This window comes from Homo sapiens, chromosome 5 (assembly GCF_000001405.40).
Source record: "Homo sapiens chromosome 5, GRCh38.p14 Primary Assembly".
Lineage (NCBI taxonomy): Eukaryota > Metazoa > Chordata > Mammalia > Primates > Hominidae > Homo > Homo sapiens.
This window is the reverse complement of record NC_000005.10, coordinates 44,488,555-44,511,653: the sequence shown is the minus strand read 5'-3', so window position 1 is coordinate 44,511,653 and position 23,099 is coordinate 44,488,555. Positions and strand designations below refer to the sequence as shown.

Below are 23,099 nucleotides of genomic sequence, written 5' to 3'. Positions count from 1 at the left end.
ATCAGGCTATCTAAAATAAACTGTAGTAATTTCCTAAGAATAAAATGGTTTTATTATTTTATTTTATTATATGGAAAAGCTTGTACTGATTCTAATATTTTTGGGTAGTATGTACTTGAGCAAATCTCGTTCTGTGTGTATATCTCTCATTTGATAATGCATAGGTTAGGCCAAGTAATTTTTTAAATCTCTTCTAATTCCAACATTCTTTTTTTATGACTCTGGTCGCCAGGTTTTTGAAAGAATTAATTCATCCTTTCAAGATAGGTAATTGTAGAAGAGGAAATGTTATATTTAAAAAGTTGAGAATAGCTAAAGCACTGCTGTCGGCACTCAGAATAATGAGTCTATTAGTATTCACATTTATCTGAGGATGGAGACTTACAACACCTGTATTTAAATCCTCTTCATGATACTATTTGTTGTGTTCTGGATGACTTACCCTCCTGGTTAGGAATTATTTTATCTTTTCAGTTATACTTTCCACACAATTATTAATGCCTATTATTGGTGTTTTTAATATTAAAGTCCACACTCACTTTGCAACTTATGTGTGACTTGGCCAAAAAACTTTTCAAGCCTCAGGCTTTTTTTTTTTTTTGCCTCCGTAAAACAGAGCCAATAATACCAAACTAATAAGGTTTTTAAGACTTTATCATGGTGCCTACCAAGAATGCAATAGATAGCTATTATTATAACATTTTAATTAAGAAATTAAGTCTACATTGATGTCTTGGCGTAGAGTTACTGACTTTAAACATATTCACCCAAATAGTCAAAAACCCACCTTGCACATACACACTTCTCTAGAAGAGACTAAGAAAAATGTCTATGTAATCCTTTCACTAAAAAAGCTTGTAATCTACCTTGGGAAACAAGACATAATATTCAAGAAAAGTTGAGCAATAAAAGAGTAACAGTTATAACAGATATCATAAAATAGTGTTTGTTAAATAGCAAATTAATGGTATAGAAAATATATGGAAGTTAATTCCAGAGCTAGGAGACATCACTGTTATAGAAGTCTGTGTGGAGCAGTTCACAATTAAGCCAAGCTAATATAAATTGCTCAAATTGATGCAAATGAGAAAGAATCATTACTTAAGCCAAAGGAAAAGTTTTTAAGGATATACATAGTTACATCCTACACACAAGTACACACACAAACACACTGAAAAGAACTTTTTTGGGATAAATGCTATAAGGCACTGAGCACATTGTCTAATCTATCATCAAACAGATAATAAATGTCATGTCTTATTGCAGACGGCACGTATTTGTGTCCCATTGGGCAAATCAAGGCCACAAATGTTTTCTTTTGCCCATGTCAGAGTTTTACATAACATATAGGGCAACTTTTTAAAAGTAGATTTTATATTTGAAAAAGAAACCTAGCATCCTGGTTTTCTCTGGGAAAATCTTAAAGATTTGCTGTAACTGAGCCTGCATTTCCTTAACACAAATCTGCTGGAGCTGAACATTTGCTGCTGCTTCCTTTAAACTTGACCTCAATCACGAAGGTCTTCATCAACTCACTCAGTGCTTTCACATGTACTTATACCCAGCACATGCATTGGCTATGACCTTGCAGAATTTGGCATTAGCAACCTCAAAAACTCTGGAAAAGGCTTCATTTTCTCCAGTCTCCTGGGAGAGGAGAGGCACCATGAAGGCAGACCCATCCAGAGAACACCTGCGACAGGCTGAGAAGTAAGTAATCAATGAGAGAAAGCTTTGCAGAAAAAAAAAATAGTAAAAGACATCTTGCTTTCCTTTTATTTTTCCTGCATTCTAATCCCTTTTTAGAATAGATACATGAAGCTACTTAGGATTTTCTAAGCACTTCATGTTCTAAAGGGTTAAATATGTGAACCAGTAAAAAGAGTAGTTAGTTCTAATCTATGCTTTGACAGAGAAACTTCAAAGTCTGTTGCCTTTGTATGACCATTTAGTCCAGCTCACTGAAAGCAGCTAGGAATTTAGGACTGAAGTCCTAGTGAGGAAGAAAGAGTGGACATTTAGTGGGAATGTACTTAGGTATACTTTTAAAATCTAACTGGAGTAATGAGTGGCTTAACAGGCTGCTAAGCAAGGACCAAGGCAGCAGTTGCATTTCCCTGTCCTCTGCAGGGCATGCCTTAGGGTCACTGTATAGATTCTACAGCCTAAATCATGCTGGGTAACCCTATTTTCCTTGATAATCTTTGTCAATATATTTATATTTTTGTCCAAAAATATCTAGATTTGCTTCAATATAGAGTTGGCAATCTAAAATAAACTCTTCCCTACCCCAAAAAATGCAAAAAATTCCTTCTTCCAGGACTAAAAAGACCAGAAATTTCCATGGACCTTTCAAAACATGCTATAGCAGTCCAGAGTTGTCCTGCAAAAGGTCCAATAGCAAGAGGAAAACCACAATTAACCAAAAAGAAAGGCACTTGAAGCAGAATGAAAAGTTCAGGTCTACTGTTAAGGTGCCATGCAGTTGTTCACATATTCTTGGGAGCTAGAAAGAAAGAAATGCAGCAAATAGTGAATAGGCAAGAGTAGAGCTGGACCATTAGGTTGTCACAGCCTGTTGTAGTTTATCTTCATGGAGAAAAGAAGTTGTATTATCAGTTTTGCCACTTTAGTGACACAGTAAAACCCTCACTAACCAGACATTTGAAATGTTATGGCCTGTTTTAGCCAAGTCTTCAACTATGACGGGTGATATTTGCCATCTCATCCAAAGAGAATGCCTCAGACCCCACGGTACCGTATTAAGAACTGTCATCATGTTGTAATAGGAGGCACTTAGCAAGTTTCTTAATCCTTTTGTGTCTTAACTTTGCCCCTGTAAGATGGGGATAACAGTTCCAATCTATGTTGTTGACATTCTGTGTAGTAGAGTGTCTAACTCAGAGTTAGTGTTGTTCAAATGTCATTCTACTTGAAAAATTATATATTTATGTACTAATTTTCAATGTTGCATAGCAATTGAATTTTGTTGGCTTTCAAAAAGCTGAGTAAGTAATATTATCTTCATTTTTTATATGGAAAATCTGAGATAGGACAGTAATTTGTCCGAGGAAACCCTGCAGGAGAGTGGTAGAGCCCATACAAAAGCCCATGGTTCCTCACACAATTCTTTTTTTTTTTTTTTTAGACAGACTCTTGCTCTGTCGCCAGGCTGGAGTGCAGTGGCACGATCTCAGCTCACTGCAACCTCCACCTCTGGGGTTCAAGTGATTCTCCTGCCTCAGCCTCCCGAGTAGCTGGGACTACAGGCACACGCCACCATGCCCAGCTAATTTTTTGTATTTTTAGTAGAGACGGGGCTTCACCGTGTTGGCCAGGGTGGTCTCAGTCTCTTGACCTCGTGATCCACCCGCCTTGGCCTCTGAAAGTGTTGGGATTACAGGCGTGAGCCACCGTACCCGGCCTCCTCACACAATTCTATGCTACCTCATTTTTCTCCCTTTAATAAAGTAAAGAGCAGAAAAAAAAAACTTTCCAAGAAACCAATACAGAAAAATATAACTCCATGTGGTCATTTATATGTCACTTTGATTCTCAGAAAGTGAACAGAAACTAGAAGAATTGCCTCTGAACAACTGAAATGCTTATTGATAAAAGTGCTAAAATTTTAATAAAGCATCATTTACTTGTTTATGCATAGGATGCTGTGAAGACTATCTTGCATGTAACCTATGTTAGACTGTGAAAGATTTAATCCTATTCCACAAAAGTCATCTTTCCAGGAAACACAGTCATTGAGATATCAGTGCACAACTTCCATCTTTGTGACAACTCATGAAGTTTAACTTTATTTGTTCAATTACCTTCTGAAAAGAAAAGAGAAAATTATTGTGGCCATTTTGGAATTTTCTGTGAAATGTGATTGAATGAAAGCACTCTGTCTTCTTCATAGACTCTCCCCCTATCAAGAGGCCACTTATGGGGAAAATCCTTTCTAAAACTAGGTAAAGGTAATAACATGGCTCCATTTAACAAATGCTAAAAATGCTACAATCCATGACATATGTTACTATAAAAATGAATTACACTTACTAATTCTTCTCTTTAGCAAGATAAAAAGCTCTTAGAATGTCCAATAGCTTAATACATTATTAAACTCATTCTCAGATATTTCCATAAATACATTTAAAAATCATTGCTTTGGAATAATGCAATGTAAATGAAAATGTTCAGGTCATCTGCATCACTCCCAACCTGTTATTCTCAAACTGATTCCTCTTTTATTTTCCTTAGAAACATGTGTTTGAAGGCTTCATTGAAATTAATAACAAGATTAGAGAGTAACCGCCATTTTTTACAGTTACTGATCCTTGACTTCTAAATAGAATGATTTGGCTCAAAGCTGGTGCTATTTCTTTTCTTTTTTAAGAAATTAAATATTCATTATATCAGTGACTGTATTACCAAAAGGAAAACCAGGCTGCTGTTCTTACATACTGTTGTGAGTTACTTCTCTATGGTGACTTGAAAAAAATTTGACTTTTTTTAGAAAATATTTGGAGGTTGTGATATTCTGGTCCTATAGCTTTAGATAATATATAACTTTAGTTTACTTAAATTTGTTTTATTTTAGTTCTAACAAATTATTTTATGAAGTTTTCATAATTTAGATTTTTAAAATAAAGGAAGGCATTTCAGACATTAAAATAAGTGAATTCAATTTTTATTTTTAGCTTAATTTTGTTGCAGTTGCTGCTTTTAAAAACGTTGAGTGCTCTCCTATTATATCTTCTTTAAAATACTTCTAAAATTAGAAGCAGATCTATATTTTCTTTTCGCTGCACTTGCTCTCTTTCCTGCCTCCTGCTCTTACTGGAATGTTTTTGTTATCCCCAGCGATAGTCAACAGCTGTGCTGTCTCACAGATCTTATTAGCAGCTGTGAAATGCTACTGTCCTAAGTAGCAGCATTTGTTGATGACTGTTGAGATGTAATTGCTGTGATAATAAAATTACTTCACAGGCTTCAGCCAGTCTTCAGTCAACATTTACTGAAGCCTACTGTTTGCAAAATACTGAATTCCCCACACTCACAAAACTTAATCAACTAAGGATGCAAAATGTAGGTGCTAACTTATTTTACTGTATATCAGTGGGGACAAATTAATGCCACGTAAGCCAAGTATGTGTGTCTGAAGTATGGCCAAATAAAACATAAAATAATCCAAAGGAGGAAAATGATACTCCCATTTGGACCCAAAGGAAGGAAGTGGTGGTGAACGAAGGGCATCTAGTAGTTAATTAGCCTTGGGAAGGTGAGGTGTGGAACATCAACAATAAGACAGGGGTATAATTGAAGCAAACACACTCTAATGCTTTTCTAGTCCCATACTAGCTAAACGTCTGCAAAAAGGGAGAGGATGCATTCCAGTAAATTGCTTTTTCAATAGAAAAATGTCTTAAGTGAAATAGACTTACTGTACCATGATTTCAAACTAGAAGGAGATTGAGACATGGTGTAATAATACTTAAAAATAGCTAGAATCCACAACTAACATCATGTAATGATAAAAGACTGAAAACTTTTCCTCTAATATCAGGAATAAGGCAAGAATTCCTGCTTTCAACACTTCTATTTAACACGGTACTGGAAGTTCTAACTTGAGATATTAGGCAAGAAAAATAAATAAAAGGCATCCAAGTTGAAAAGGAAGAGGTAAATTTATCTCTATCAAGGGGTGATGTAATTTTATATGTAGAAAATCCTAAAGATGCTACACACACAAAAAAAACTGTTAGAACTAATGAATTCAGCAAAGTTGCAGAATATAAAATCAACATACAAAATCATCTGCATTTCTGAAGAGCTGTTAATGCTATCATGTAAGCAACACCTGAATTTTGGAGGGTACATATTGAAACTATATTATTCCATTTCTGGCCCTTCAAAATTCGTGTCCTTCTCATGTAAAAAATATATTCATTATATCCCAAAGCCTCAAAGATCTTAACCCATTCCAGCATGAAATTTAAAGTCTAAAGTCCAGAGTCTCACCTAGATATCATCCTGAGGCAAACTGCTTTCCAGCTATGAACCTGTGAAATCAAACAAGTTATGTACTTTCAAAATACAATGGTGGAATGGGCATTGGATAGGCATTCTCATTACAAAAAGGAAAAAAAAAATAAGCAAGATGAAAAAAAGGTAACAGGTTACAAGTAAGTCTAAACCGCAACAGGGCAAAAATCATTAAATATCACGGGTTGAGAATAATCTTCTTTGACTCCATGTCCCAACTTCCAGGCATACTGGGAGGAGATTGAGTCTCCAAGGATCTGAGGGACCCCACCCCCATGGCTTTGCTGGGCATAGCCCTTGCTGCTGTTCTCATGGGTTAGAGTCAGGTGTCTGTGGCTCTTTCAGACTAGCATTGCATGTAAATGGCTCTACAGATCTGAAATCTCAGGAGCAGCCCTGCCTCATGACTCTAGTAAATATTGCCCTAGTGGGAACTATCTTTGGTGGCCTTCACCCCTCAGTTCTTCTGGGCATTGCCCTAGTGGAGACACTCTGTGGCAGCCCCACCCCTGCAGCAAGTCTCTGCCAAGCCCCCGAGGCTATCTGAAATATCCTGTGAAATCTAGGTGGAAGTAAAGATGCCCCCACAGTTCTTGCACTCTGCGAACCTGCAGAATTAGCACCAACAGGACACTGCCAAGGTTTATGACTTGTGCCTTCTGGAGCAGCAGCCTAAGCCACACATGCACCTGCTTGAACCACAGCTGGGGCAGCTGAGGAGAGCTGCACCAGAATTTGGGGAATAGGGACTTCAGACAGCCCTGGGTAATAAGCCCTGAGGTCCTATAGGTGCCCTGGGATGCCCCTGCCCCACACTCAAAATCCATTCTGCCCTCAAAGCCCTGGCACTTTGGGCCTTTGATGGGAGTGTCAGCCCTGAAGATCTCTGAAGTATCTTTGGGGTCATGCTTCCATTGTTTTCATGAATAGCATCTGGCTTCCTTTTTTTATTTTTAATCCATACCAATCTCCTTAAGTGGTTGCTTGGCCACATCCTGGATTTTTTCTCTCCAACATGCTTTGCCTTTTCATTCCTTACATGACCAGGCTGATAATTTTCCAACTCTTTAAGTTCTGGTTCTCTTTTGGTTATAAATTCCATCTTTAATTTATTTCTCCCTTTGCACATTTTACTATTATAGGCCATTGGGAGACACACTTCTGAACACCACCACTGGAAAATCACACATGCTGAAATGGGAGAGTTCCCTGACCCCCTTGCAGGATATGTGACAGGAGTGTGGCTCATCTGTTCAGCTGGAGTGCATACTCAAACCCCTTATGAGACAAGGAGTATGCAGACAGAAGGTGCAGGAACTGGGGTGAGTACCCCTGGGCTTTGGCCACACAGCAGCATCCAGGGGTGGGAGCCTGCGACTCCTGAAGCCCAAGTGGGCATGTGTTACAGTGCGCTGTTTTAGCCTTGCCATCTGCAGATGGCTTAAGCGTTAACTAGCTCAGTGACCTCTTGGTACCCAGGTCCTTGTCTGGTGTCCAGGAAGAATCAGGTCACACACGGACTTGAAGGATAACTGCAAGTGTTTTATTGAGTGGTGGAAGTGGCTCTCAGTGGGATGGTTGGGGAGCTGGAAGGGGGATGGGAGTGAGAAGATAATCTTTTCCTGGAGTTTGGCCATCCAGCGGCCAATCTCCTCTCCAACCTCCCCAGCTGAACTCCTCTAGGCCGTGCCATTCTGCCATTTTTCTGTTCTTCTGTTCATCTCCTCATGGAGCCAGGGGTTTGGGGTTTTTATGGGTACAGGATAGAGGGGCGTGGCAGGCCAAAAGACAACTTTTGGTCATGAAAACAGGAATGCCTGTTCTTACTTAAGGCGGCAGGTTTCCAGGCTTGAGGGTGGGGCCTTTGTAGGAGATCAGCCCTCTTCTACCCAGTATTTCCCTGCCTCCTGTCCATATCAACACCACCTATAGGGACACCACAAGTGCATACCAAATTAAAGTAGAGATTTCTATCTCCCTCTTCCTCATCTTCACCTCCCTCAATAGAGAATACAAGCCTTAAAAAAAAAGAAAGAGAAAAAATATCTCTGAGCCAGGCCATAGCTCCTCTCTTCTGAGCCCTCTTAGTCATAACCTCTGTCGTACTTGGGAAGGTGTAGTCTAATTTTAACAACCAAAAGTCACCAGAGAGTTATAAAATTATTCAACATATCAATATATAGTAAAGGGGATTGGGATGTAATAGAGCAGAGTTGAAAGTAACAAGAGATAAATCTTTTTTTAATTGAAAGAGACAGAATGTTGTGTCATAATTAAAAATACTACAACAGATACTGGAGCTAGATTGCCTGGGTTAAATCAGCTTGCAGCTTTTACCAGCTGTGTGATCATGAACAAATTACTTAGCATCTTGACATTTTGATTTATTTATTTAAAAAATGGAACTAATACTAGTACCTACCTCATGAAGTTGGAAAGAGTATTAAATAAGCTAATATATGTAAAGTGGGGGCATGAAGTCAGTACTTTGTAAGTATTAGCTGCTATATTGATACCCCATTAACCAGTTGCATTTGACTAAGTTTGAGGTTCGCCTTTATACATGAAAATAATTAAATTGAATTATTTCATTTGTATTCATATATTATTCTCTGTCCATTGCTATAATTTTTGAAAAAGGAAAATATCCCAGAAAAAAAGGAAAAAAAGAAAATTTATTTTTATTAATACACTAAATGTTTTATGAGAGAATAATTAAAAGCTCATTCCTCATATATAATATTTAACACCCTTTACCTTTCACTCTGATTCATTATTTATTTTTGAAATATCTGTGGAATCAACTAAATCGCAAAAGCAGAAGTTTGCTCTAAGTCAGACTGCAAGAGCAAACAACAATGCAGAAAATATATTATAGCACATCTCTTCTATTGCTTTACAAAACTACATGTTTAAACCTCAAATTTAGAAAAGCAGGTTATGACTGATAGAAGGGGTACCCAAATGACATGCTTTGGCATCTGTCAGTTTTTGGACATCAACAGCAACATGGTGGTGATACTAACACTACTCCATTCACTGTACTTTTAAAAGAAAGAGGACAATTTCAGCAACCTTCAATTCATTTAGTTACAGAAAGTTTAGTGAACTTCAGTTAATGTTAAGGCCTATTGACAGCAGAAAGAATTCAGATTTCTGCCACTGAGAATCGGGGAAGACTGGTGACATTAATAAGATCCAGATCCCCAGGCCAAACAACTGTGATCTTCCTTATCCACTGTCCCACAGGATGAGTTTGTTAAAGGTTTTCATCTCCTCTCAGTGGTTTTCCTTCCCTCCGCCCCTATCTCTGATCTGCAATAGGGGAAGGGGAAAGGGAAAATAAGAGTAGAAGCCACCAGAAATTACTGTTCTAATTTAGCATTAGCAGGAATTTGTAAACCACCACTAAGTAGATAAAGCTAAGAGCTACTAACTACAAACATAACCAAACAATAACCTCTGTGACTGTTTAATGGAGACCTTGATTAGAAACACAGAAACCAGGAGCCTTTACTGGAAACCAGGGAGCAATAATGTATTCAAAGAGAAAGGCTAATGGGGCCTGCACAGAAAACCAGCGTTCTGGAAAGAAAAGAGAGGAAAAAGGGAGGTAATCAGGTATAGAAGGAGTTAGAATTAATACAGCAATTTGAATTTGGCTGTGAAGTATTGACACTGAATTATTATTCTGAAGTTAATGAATTAACACACTGGAATGAAGAACTGTGGTATTTAGAAACACTTGCCTACATTAATTTTGCAGGACTGTATACAGATACAGGTTGATTTCTGGGTTTTGCTTTAAAATGTAGTTTGTTGTTTAGAACTGCATGAGTTACTGAAAAATCTTTTCAGGGTATTGGATTTCATGTTGCATAGTCAGTTCACAGTAACATATTTTGCATATTTACTGTTTCTAAAGGCTTGACTGGGCGTTTAAAGAGCAAATTAGAGTGCACCTGGTAATAGCCTTAGAGGAAACTCCACAAGAATTACAGACATCATTTTGTACATCAGTAGTTACAAATTTTGTCTACTGACAAAAAATGTCCACAATAGTGTGGTTGAAGTGTCTCTTACATTACCTAAGCACAAGTGTTTCCTCATATTTAATTTTTTGGTTTCCAAAAATATATTTAGAAAATACAGTAGCATCTCACTCTTCCTAGTAATAATCAAGGTCAATGCTAAGGAAATATCAGTTTTATTGAGCCAATATTCTATATTATGTTGTCCAATAGAGTAGTCACTAGCCATATGCTATTCAAATTTAAGTTAATTTTTAAAATAAAATTAAAATCTCAGTTCCTCAGTTGAACTAGCCATATTTTAAGTCAAATTTGACTAGTGGCTAGTGTTTTGGGACATGCAGACATACAGCATTTTTATCATTGCAAAAAGTTATATAGGACAGTACTGTATAGTAAGTCAAAACTGTTCAGACGATTATATTTGTAGAAATGATACAATTTCAATAACTACAAAAACACATTTCTTGTTCTTGTCATTATTTTCAAAAATTTTTCTAAATGGTAAATATTTCTAAAAGAGTATATTTTCGGTACTAAAATTGTATACCATGTCTTATCTCTGCAGCTTCTCCATTTTATGTGCTTATTGCCCAAAAAGTAAAATTTAAAGTAATTAATTCATTAAAATAACAAATCCAATAAAGCTTTAAAATAACATTTAATTTCAAAGATGCAACAAAAATTAAGACTTTGTAGCCAGGTTATTCTAAATCACAATGTTTTCACAATAATCAGAGACTAGACCTAAATATGTCGTGTACATAAAAATAGAAGCAGCTGTTTATTAGTCCAGGATTGATATTATGGAAACATTAAATATTCACTAAATCATCAGTTTGTGTATTTCAATGGTTTTTTAAAAAAGAAATCAGTGCTAAATTGGTATTAAATATTTCAAAATATTAATTCTTACAATTTTTTTTACACAGAAGCAAAATATAAACTAGTTAATTTGATCTCCAAGAGTTAAGCGGTTTTAATATTACTGACAGTAATATCAGCAGTGGTGTTGGAACCCCATGATCTCATGAATCATAGATGTAAGTACAACTTTTATTTGTCAAAAAGCTATTGGATCTGATTTTCCTTTTAAGATACTCACTTATTTAAAAAAGTAAATAAAATTATGTATACATTTATGGTATGTGCATATAAATATAATCAGAGTTTTCACAAACACTCTTGAAAGAAAATATTCTGTCTTTAGACATGTGTGGTGACATTTCAAGCAAAGTTTAGCCTAAATGTGTGAGGAGTTCATCTGATGCCTATAACTTAGCACTTTTGTACTGTGGTAGTGGAAAGGGATGGATCACTTAATGGTTTCAGATGTTAGACTTTAGTGAACTAGGATGGGTTTCCTTAGCATGACATCAGTTTATCTAGCTTATTAGCTTTGTAGTTAAAAACTTTATTATTCTTTTGTGTCTGCAAGCATTTTCATGACTTTCCTTCCTTTTGAAAAATGTTTCATTTGTTGTGTTATATAGGAAATAGCCCATTAAATAACCACTTAATTGCTAGAATTAGCTTATTCAATTATGATTCAATTTCTTTTAAATGTATTTCTTCAAGGAAATTAAAGGATCCAATTATGCAGGCTTATGTCAATTTTCATTAGAAGGTCTCAGCAATTGAATTTTATGAATACTAGTACTTTATGGCACTCAACTGATGAGGGGAAGTGATTATGCATTTCAAGTACCTTTAAATCTGAAATGAGTTTTGCATTTCTTATAATATGTATTCTCATTAACTGAATATTATTTTTTCAAATAGTTATTTCTTATACTTTGGGCAACCAAAATAGTAAAATTTATAATAACATGAAACAAACATTTATTTCTCTGGATCCAAATGCATGGTCAGGCCACACAAATCATCTGCCAGTTATATAGCAGTCTTGTGAGAAATCTCAGACTCATGGGCATTTTTGCATGCTCATAGCCTGTCTGATGTGTTTGTTATGCCTGAATTGCTTTTTTTTTTTTCTTAAATTTACCATGTGTGGTCTGCCCAGACTACAGCTAATTGGAATAGACATGGGAAATAAGTCAAAGCAACCATATGGCAGGGAGAGTATGAGGGAGACTCGGACCAATGTGTCTGTCTACTCTGGGTGACCAGCCAAACCAGTTAGAATCTCTTTTTCCCCACTTAAGAGAGAGAAAGAGAAAAAAAGATAGAGTTAGCTGGCAATTGAGTAAACTGGTTGAATAAAGGTAGAGAAGTGGCTCAATGCTTTTGCAATAGCTAATAGAATTGCTGTTGAGTCAACAGACGTGCTCTTGAACTATAAATCCTAATTTTTTTTTAACTAAATGGCAATGAAAGATGTTACAGGTATCTGTGATGCCTCATTAAGACATTTGAGATATTTTCCTTGTCTTCTCTTGCTACCTTTCCAACAAACCATTTGTGGAAAGTGAATTTATTCTTACAACCTGAAAAACATCAAACAACACATAGGTTATTATGTCCAAGTCCATTGGATATAAACATTTTTTATTAATAAAATTGCTCCAATCAATGGTGAAGAAAACTGAATTGAAGAGAATATGTAATATAAAGTGCTAGCTTCTTGAAAGTGCAATAATCTTACAAATTTGTTTATAAATTATCTTTCCCATTTGGATTCAGATATAAATTTGCAAAGAATAAATTAAGAGGTGGAAAGGTTGTAGGCGGCTCTAGATATGTTCAGGCCTCTTTGTGATTATGTTCACAGATTAATGTGGACAATGAGCTCATTAACCATTTCATTTGATAAAAGTCAGCATCAAGATGAGCTCATCAAAACAGAAGTAAAATCAAATAGAAGATAAGAATTCCCTTTATCTACAATCTTATTATGTAGTTTGTGAAGGAAAAAATGTATATTTTTAGAGCCATCCTCAAACAACTTTGACAATTTTATCCAGTCAGTTGTCTCTCTATTATAAATATAGAACTTGGAGGAAACACCAGTAGTCATTAGCGATTAGCTAAAAACATGCAGATTATGATAAGAAAGGAAGTGTAGGTCCACAATTGCTGACCTGACTCCATGTCTGTCCTTGGAGAGCACAAAAAAATCTCCTTGAACTCTCATTAGAATGTGTTTTTTTTTTTTAATCCCAGTAAAACTAGTTGAACTCTTCAATTAGGCACACCTTACAAAAGAGCAATGATTTTAGATAAAATCATTCCTCACACTTTCATGATTAGTTTGAGGTCTGGGTGCAGAAAGGGAAAAAAGTAAAAAGTTCAGTGTTAAATATTGTAAGACTTCCGCAGTTTTATATGTAACATCAGAAAGAAGGAACTCCCTATACAAGGCTATTTTCATGGTTCTCATTATCACATAGAGTTAATCAAAAACAGTTCAACCTCAGGCAAGTACCCCTGAGATTAACGTATTGAAGAGAAATAAAGCATCTTAGTCCCCTGGATGATAATTAACCTTGAGAAAGCCCAAATCAAAGCAAAATATGGTGTATTTTTTCTGAAATATTTTCCCCTAAATACTAATATATGCCGGGTTGATAATATATGCATTATACATTATCAACCCTACACTGTGGTGTATCATACCAAACCAGCAAGTGACTGTCCTCCTGTCCTCACTATGTTCTTTGGGCACATGAGGAGTTGTAAATATATGCCTGCATAATTTAATGCATGACACATTTATTTTATCATGAAACTACATGTTAAAATGCTACAGTGCTATTGTTTTAAAACATCAAGAACTAAAACACTGACTACAGTATGCAATCCAGATGGCAAATTCTCAAGGCATAGGACTGGAAAATGAAAAAAAAAAATTAAGAGTTGTTTGGCTTTCTCAGTCATGCAGCTTCCTAGCTTGCTTTTACCTTTCAGCACTAGCAAGGATTTAAATGCAATAAAAGCAGTTAGTATAACGGAGAAATAGGATTTGTTACAGGTCTGCTAGTCTTTTAAAAACATCTTTATTCCTCCTAAAATGGCCTGGGCTATTTAAGTTCTTGTGTTGCACTAATTAATAATAAATAGAGTACATTAAAGTCGCTTTATTTATCTAACTTCCTATCACATGCAAGCCAATACACACATATATTATTTACACATAGTCTATGTCTTTCTGCTATTTAAATTTTGCAGGATAAGAAATATCCAGTGAACTAATTTTCAGAATGTGTTTATGTGTCATGCGTAACTGATAAAACAACTAGTTAGAATACAGACAAATATAAAAAAAACAAATGTAATTTTCTTAATTAAAATGTCAGTCATGCAACTATGCCAAATCACATTTTAATCAAATAAACCCAGACCTTATCATTAAAGACAAGTACTTCAATTGCAGAATTTTAAATAGCTTAATTGTATATGGAAAATGTGGCTTGAAAATATAAACATAATTAAGACAACTTCTTTTAGTCTTTTTGGTCAGCCTACTAAGAAGGATAAAAGTCTTGCATGTATTTGAGATTAGATACAGCATTAATTGGCAGCACTTCGTCACAATATCCCATTTAAGTAGTCTTGACTGTTCTTGCACAATAAACAACATTGTCTTTCAGTTTTTTTGAAAGTTTTATTTATATTGGAAAAAAAAGCCTCCAGAACTTCCCCAAATCTCCAGGAACCATGCCATATTTAATACAATATCCACCTCAGTAACTCAGTGATCACGTATTTCACCTATTTGTTATAAATTCTCTTTTTAATTTTTTTAAAGGCAGTCTTCCAGCAGCTACAAACATCATTAATTGACTTTTCTTGAACCAAGGTTCATATTAACAAAATATAAATTAGATAACGGTTATTAGTGCTGCAACAACACTTAGATGAGTCTAGCCATAATATGTCAGTAACATGAAAAATGCTAGGTTTTTTGGTTTGGAATTTATCTGGGTTTTCAATTAGGCTTAGCCAACTTGAGCAAGTAGTTCTTGTGGCAACAATTATGGGTTTTACTTGTGTGTTTGATTTGTATTTGGGTCTTTTTTTTTCCTTATTTGATCACCAAGGCACACACAAATATTCGTCTCAAGCTAAAGCCCCGAAAGTAAGCCATTCTTTAGCTGGTGAAATTCTAATCTCGTTTTATATGTAGTCAATGAGCTGCTGAGAGATGCCTTAGCTTGTTAACATGATAGCAGACAGATGAGAAGAAATAAAAAGTACTGGCCTGTGAAAGCCAAATCAAAGAGCCAGATTGAGGAGATTCTCGAGTTACCCAGGTGAGGCCCTCAGTGCCTAGCTAGTGACCCAGCTAATGGTCAGAATGCTGTAGGTTCCGTTTGGATGATCCAAACGTTAAAACATGGGACTTCGATGTCTGCATAAATGGCTGATAATTTGCCTTTTCTTTGTAAGCTTACTATACAATAAACAAAAGACATATTTGATACTAACCAAACATGGAGAAGGAACAGACAATAACACTGGACGAATATATTCAAGATGCAAATCTTTATGTGGCATTGAAAGAAGTTCAGGATCCTACATTTCTGTATCACAGATTTTTAATTCTCCTTGAGTGTAAACTACTACCTATTGCCATTTACCAAAAAAAATACTCATTTCCATAGACATGTAGCAATATAAATTGCCTGAAAATGGGATAATGCTTTCATGCAGTGAAATCTTGATAAAATAAGAGAAAGTTACAGCTTTTTTTTTAATAATGATTATAGGATTTAAGAGAACGGGTATGTGACAATACTCTGAAGAAGTATTTTAGGTGGTGTAAAAACACTTGTATCTGGGAGCATTGAAATCTACAGACTGATATTTCCTTTTTGTTTTCTTTTTCAGAGCAACTGCTTACTGGACATTGAAGCTTTATGGCCAGCTGCCAAAAAAATAAATGCACCTTAATTTTTAAATTGAATTATAAAGCCAAAAATATCCTATTGCTCTATTCCTCTTATTTTGGTGTTTACATGTGACTTTATAATTTCCTTCACTTGAAAGATTTTAACTTTAAAGGAAACTTTACTCTGAACGTTTAGGACAATTCATAGATAATCAAATTGATTATCATGTTTTCAATGTTAAATATTACTTCATATGTCTTTTTACAACCTTCAGAATAAGAAAGCCAGCTATGAAATACCAAGTCTTGACTAGTAGTGCCACCTAGCATCACAAAGAAAAAGTTGTTCAACTACTTTGCAAAGCATTGGAAATTTATCAAATCATCTAATATACTATCTCCTTGATCCTTAATCCAGAGGAAAATAAGCAGACATGATCAATTAGAAGAAATGTACACAAAACCTATGTAATTTTAGAGATAGTATACTACATATTATGAATGTTTGTGTTTTAGTAAGATGTAGTTATGAGATGTAGCAGTAAGATATAATTTCTGGTTTGCTGACTGATATGCTACCGGTTTTTCCTACAATTTAAGAAAACATATTGGGATTCAAATGAATAAAAATAATGTTTGTGTACTGAAATATTGGCTATGACCTAATTTATAGAATAAAAAGTAAGTCATTCACAACTATCAGTATTTTGAATAATGTGGCAACCAACAACTGATTGAGATTTGTTAGTGTTTTGAGTAATGAATTTAGAAACTTTGGAATATAATATAATGCTAACAAAGATATCACAGGCTCAATCCTGGATGGAACTGAGGACAGCTATTCCAACCATCTCAGTTAAGATGCTTCTTATTGGCGATAAGTGAATAATAAGAGAGTAGATGGCTCATACCAGACCTATTTCTCTCACAATTCAAATAGACTTAGCTGTGAGATAGGGCAAGTCCTCAAATAACACCATTTCATTCAAAGTCATTTTATGATCACTTTGATGAGAAGAAAATCACTAATTCTTGGTCATGGCCACTGTCTGTGTGGAGTCTACATGTTCTCTGCATGTGTACATGGGTTTTCTCTGGGTAGTTTGGTTTCCTTCCACATCCCAAGGAAGTTCACATGAGGTTCACTGGTGTGTCTAAATGGTTCCAATGTGAGTGAGTGTTGGGGTGTGTGTGGGTGCCCCCTGCAGTGAGATAGCTTCCTGTCCAGGGCAGTTCCCACCTTGCACCCTGAGCTGCTGGGAGAGGATCTGACACTGGTGACCCTAAACTGGAATAAGCAGGCTGGAAAATGAATGAATACAAATTATTATAAAATAAAATTTCATAAAATCTATGGTAATCATATAAATGCATGACAAAAAATGCAGTAAGAAAGTGCTCAGGAAGCCCACTGTATTTGTTGTTTCTGAAGGAGATGCTCCTGACAGTTTTTGCTTTGCTAACATTTCTTCCTTGATTTAACACACCATCACTACAACTACCATCGCTCACTGATTCACCAAAAATTGGGTAAATATTTATCGTTTTCATTAACATTTCTTAAATGTATGGATGTATCACAATTATTTCAATGTTTAATATTAAAAGTGTTTTGGGTCTTTATTTAGAAGTTTAATATGTTTTTGTGACCAGAAATATAACATTGGAACTTCACTCTTGTTTATATCAATTAGCCTGTGGTAAAGCGGGTTTCATTCAAGTTGTCCAACCCACAGCTCATGGGTCACATGTGGCCCAGGACTCCTTTGAATGCAGCCCAACACAAATTTGCTAACTTTCTTGAAACATTATGAAATTTTTGTGTGATTTTATTTTTTAGCTCATCAGCTATCATTAGTGTTAGTTTTTATGTTTGGCCCAAGACGATTATTCTTCCAGTGTGACTCAGGGAAGACAGAAGATTGGACACCCTTGATTTCCAACAACTTGCTTAAAGTTGATGTCCCCAAAAACCTACTGATGACATTGTGAGGACTTACTGTAATAAAACTTAAGTGGTTATCTTAGAAAAGGGAGAAAACCATTGAAGACAGGTCGCACTCTGGGACACACTCCTCTGGGAGTAGTCAGCCACTCAAATTAAAATATGCCAACAGAAAGGCTAACTTGAGCTTCTTTCAAACCAGTGCCCAGGTGTGCAATGTCTAGTGAGTGGGACTCCCAAGGCAAATAACCTTGGCAGAAATAGGAAGATTTTCAAGATTTCAATTAGGTTAGGTTTAGAACTAGAATGGAACTGCAATACCTTTCATAAAGCAAAAGGGTGAATCCAGCAATGTGCACTAGGCATCAGTATGTCTAAAGACAAGTGACATATAATATCCCAAACATACCAGGCTTTAGCAAAAGTACTCTTCAACTCACCTGTTAGGAGGCAAGATGGCATAATGGTGAGGAGTATGATTTTGCAAGCTTCCTGCCTCACCAATTGCTAGCTATGTGATATTGGACAAGTTAGATCAGTTGTCTGCAACCCAGTTTCTTGTGAAATGGACAACAAGGATATGACTGAATGAAATGAAAACACTCAGCATTGCTGTAAACATCCACTAAAAATATGTTATTATTATTTTATTATTGCTCCTCTCTTCTCAGGTTAGGTTTTGACACAGAATTCTTTCAATGCCATTTCACCAGTTGGAAACCTCTGTGGCTGGTGGCACCTCTGCCTCGGCTTCACTTTTGTCTGCTGGGCTTGCTCTGCCCACTTGGCCCAGCAGGCTGAGCTCTGTTCACTCCCCAGCCCAAATCCCACGATCACCATGGGACCCATGCTCAGCTTACAGCGGGACCAGGCATGCTGTAAGTGGCTTCTGTAGCTGAGTGCTGGCATTCAGACAAAGGGGGATGTGGTGGCGCCTGAAAACTTGGAGACACCAGCAACCGCAGACCCCAAGAGGTGTTACAGCTTCTGCTTGGGGAGTCCCAAGATCTGAGAACCCAGGAAGTATTACAGCTCTCGTTCATTCCCACTGCCTACAGCTTCAGCGAACAGGGGTGTGTCACAGCTCTTTCTGTCCTGCTGCCTGCAGCTCAGCAAATGGGGGCATGGGGCACCCAGCAGCTTTTTCTCCCCTGTCGCTTGGTGAGTGAGAGGGAGGGTTACAGTGTTATAGCTCTTTTTGCACCTCCCATTTGGTGGGTTCTGGGTTCTTGTCCCATGACCAAGAAGAATGAGGTTGCATGGACACCAGAGAGTGAGCGAGGCAGGGAAGAATTTTATTGAGTGACAGAGAAGCTCCTGACAATGACAGGGGACCTGAAGTGGGTAGCCCTCTGTGTGAGAGGGGGCCTGAAAGCAGGTAGCCATCTATGTAGCTGAGTCCAGGAATGAGGAGATGCAGGCTATAGGTAGCCTTTGGAAAAGGCAACATTCCATTGGTTAAAGAGCATTATTCAGAAAGAACCAATCAGGAAACAGTGGGCAAACAAGAATAGAAGTTGTCACACTGGACTCTATCCAGAACCAGCAGTTCGGTTTTCAGTCTTCGGGCTGTCTTTGGCTTAAAGGCCAGGTTTCACAAGGGACCCATACTTGTCTGTCTAGGAATTTGTCTGTCTTCTGCTGCTATCAGTTTGTCTCAGGAACTACATGATTCTGGGTCTTTAGGTAGAGAGTCTTAAAAGAGCTTCAGCTAAACATGACTGGGAAGCTAGCCACTCACCACTAATATGCAAACACATAGTTTCTGGCCTAATGGAACTGAGGAAATAGCACTGATTTAATAAATATGGAATATTTGTCACCAAAAGATAAAATTACAATATTCTAACATATTTTTCTATGCAACATTCATATATTTATATATATATTAGCAAATATATTCAATGTTAATTCATATATATTAACAAATATATTCATCTGTATTAACAAATTTAATATGTGATCAATCTGTTTATTTAATCCTTTTTCTAAACTTTAGGTTATAGTTTAGCACAAGATATAATTAGCTGATATCAATAATATATGTCACTCATTATTTTTTCCCCCAGGATACAAGTTTTGGTGTCCGCAAAATGGAATACCTCTCAAATCTGTAATACAAGCATGATATAGTCTTAAACAAGAACCACTCCTGTTATGACAACTATTACTCTTCCTCCTTTTAAAGTTTACTCAGATTCTGAATTATGGATAATTACAAAGAAGCTTGGTGAAGTTACATAGGGGAAGAAGTTTCATTTTTCAACTTCCCAGTGAAAAATAAGTAACACAGCATCACAGAAGGGAAAATATTCTGTCCCAGAGGACAGTGCCAGGACTTTAGCTTATTTCTTTTGCTTCTGTGGTTGGTTGTCTTTGGCCATTTCTCAAGATGTGTAAGCCTCTGATAATATTAATAAAAGCACTTTATTTGCAACCCATATTAGTCCTGGTTTATTACACATACCCCTAATTATGATTTTAAGTGGCCAAAATAAGAAATTCTGGAGACTGTAGAAAATTTTTTTTTTCTGGGCTCCAGATTTAGACTAAGGGAGAGTGACCAATACAAGTCATGGGACCCTGAGAATGGGAAGGAGAGGCATTGAATTAAATATCACTAGTAGAGATTCAAGAATATGAGAATCCCTAGTCCCAACCCTACCATTCCATGATCTTAATCGCCTGAATGGAAATAAACAACATAAGAATACATTTTACCAGCTGGGCGTGGTGGCTCATGCCTGTAATCCCAGCACTTTGGGAGGCCGAGGCAGGCAGATAGCGAGGTCACGAGATTGAGAACATCCTGGCCAAGATGGTGAAACCCTGTCTCTACTAAAAATACAAAAATTAGCCAGGCTTGGTGGTAGGCGCCTGTAGTTCCAGCTACTCGGGAGGCTGAGGCAGGAGAATAGCATGAACTCAGGAGGAGGTGGAGCTTGCAGTGAGCTGAGATCATGCCACTGCACTCCAGCCTGAACGACAGAGCGAGACTCCATCTCAAAAAAAAAAAAAGGATACATTTTACCTTAATCACAGGGAGTCATTTGAAATACAGAACTTTTTTCTAGGCATTGTAGGGCAGGCATGAGAGCAAGCACTTAAATTTAGAAGTGAGATCCTTGAAAGCTGATGTACTTAGCTTCATAAAGTTCCTCTTGCTTTCTAATCTTATTCTCCCTTTTCCTACTCCTCTGCTGATAAGATATAAAAAGAAAGCTAATAGACTCATTTCCAGGTGAGTGGCCTGCTTCGATCGTATTTTGGAAATTTTAGATATCTTTCATCTAACAGCAGGAAAGCTTGAGGATGTAAGTCTGTGGTGGAGAGCTACAAAATCAAATATAACTTGGTTATTTTCCCACTATGAAGAGTCACTATGAATAAAGTAAACTCGGATATTAGCTCAAGTTTGAAGGCTCTTTTCATTTATTTGTTAATGACCTTGCACCTCTGTTGGCAGCACTGGAGGCTTGCAGAGGCCTTAGAAGAGGTTTCTGGGGGCAGATATGAAACAGGATCACATAGCTTAGGTGAGTATCCAAAGAATTCTTAGATGTGACATAATTCTCAGTAATTTTTTTCAGAAATTGGTTTTGGATTGAGGAACAGCTGAATTTGAATTCATCCATGACTCTTTCTTCTCCAAATTTTATCATCAGACTTTCAATTAACTTTTTTTATGTTAATTTATGAATAACTGACCCCAATATTTCCTCCTTCCCTTATCTGTACACTTTGACATGTAATTTTGCAATTCCTCCCCCTAGAAGTGCTGTCTTTTCATACTGCATGGCTTGGCTTTGAGCTCAGTCATATGACTTGTGTTGACCAGTGGAATGTGGCTGAAAATAACCATTTTTAAATATATGTTAAACTTCTGCTGTCACTATGACAAGAACATACTTAAGGTAGGCCACCAATACGCAAAGAATGAGCAGCACATGGAGGAAACCTGAACACACCCAGTGGCTTTAGACCAACTCTCACTAAACCAAGACTAATTAGCTTAACCTCAGCTGACTTACAGATATGAGAGGAAAAAAGGCTTGCTATTTTATGTCACAGAATTTTGGAGTGGCTTGCATGTGGCATTAACTGATTTACCTTTTCTGACAGTTTCCATTCTCTAAACCTTTAAGCCCTCTTTATGTCTCCTTTAATTTCTCTCCACTTCTCTCATGTTTAAGATTCAACATTGTAATCTTTTAAAATAATTTAAGTCAAGCCAATAATTTATTAAGATTTTGCTTTTGTTTGTTTAATAGATATATTAACATTATAAAAATGTACTATCGGTATTACCCAGACAAATTAGGCAATGCTTAGAATCATGTTATAATTATTATCAGTATCAATATTGCCTAGATGTATGAAATATATTTTTTTCAGTTAAACATGCATGTTTTTTCCTAAGAAGCTGTCATCAGTGGGTACTACATGTATATGTGAGATGTTACTAAGAGATTCATTATAGTTTTTAACATGAATTAAATCAATCTTAGATTTATAAAATTCGAGTAACAATTTGATGTATGTAATTTGAGTAACAATTTGATGTATGAACAATTTGATGATTACAAGAAAGGCAATTAAATATCAGATAAGGAATTTACTCAAATACTTAAATTTTAAGAAAAATTAAGAAACTTAAAGCAAGTAAGAAACCAGTGCATTTCCTAAGAAAAACATAGCAGGTAATCACAATTTAGTTTATATTTGGTACGAGCCTTATGTGATTTACTTTCACCATCTCATAAATTTTCAAAAACTTATAGTCTTCATTCTAAAATTCATTCATTGAAACTTTTATTGTAAACATATTTACACTAGATCACCTAGTATCTTATTTTTAAATGTGCTGAATTTTGCATATTCATCTTTTTATGTGCTTCATTAAATCTTTAAATTGTAGACATATATCTTATAGGAGTTCTTGTGAATAATTAGAAACAATGCAGAAATCTTGCTTCCTTTGTTCTAATTCTCATATCTTCTTTTCTGAATGACTACTTTAATCTCCCAGATATTCTTTGAGCCTGCAGTCTCATAATACTCTGTGTTCCATGTTCCCAACAGAGTTGTATTTCTAAAATAATAATATGATCAAGTCACTTTCAGGTGTAAATTTTAAAAGAATCTTTCCAATACCTATGCAATAAAGTTAAAAATATTTGACTTTGTTAACAAAAAAAAAAGATATTATATATTCTATCTAACGTTCCAGCCTCATGTTCTACCTCTTCCTTTTCAATAAAGTTTTCTAATGGCAGTTGAAAATATTTCAAAG

The 23,099-nt window shown here is 36.1% G+C and overlaps 1 long non-coding RNA gene across 1 annotated transcript; it reads left to right on the top strand.

Moving 5' to 3' along the window:
* The first annotated feature begins 1,371 nt into the window (after positions 1-1,371).
* Positions 1,372-16,510, top strand: LINC02224 (long intergenic non-protein coding RNA 2224). Its single transcript, NR_131946.1, has 3 exons — positions 1,372-1,710; positions 11,003-11,113; positions 15,861-16,510. It is a non-coding gene; the product is annotated as a long intergenic non-protein coding RNA 2224 (long non-coding RNA).
* The last annotated feature ends 6,589 nt before the right edge of the window (positions 16,511-23,099 follow it).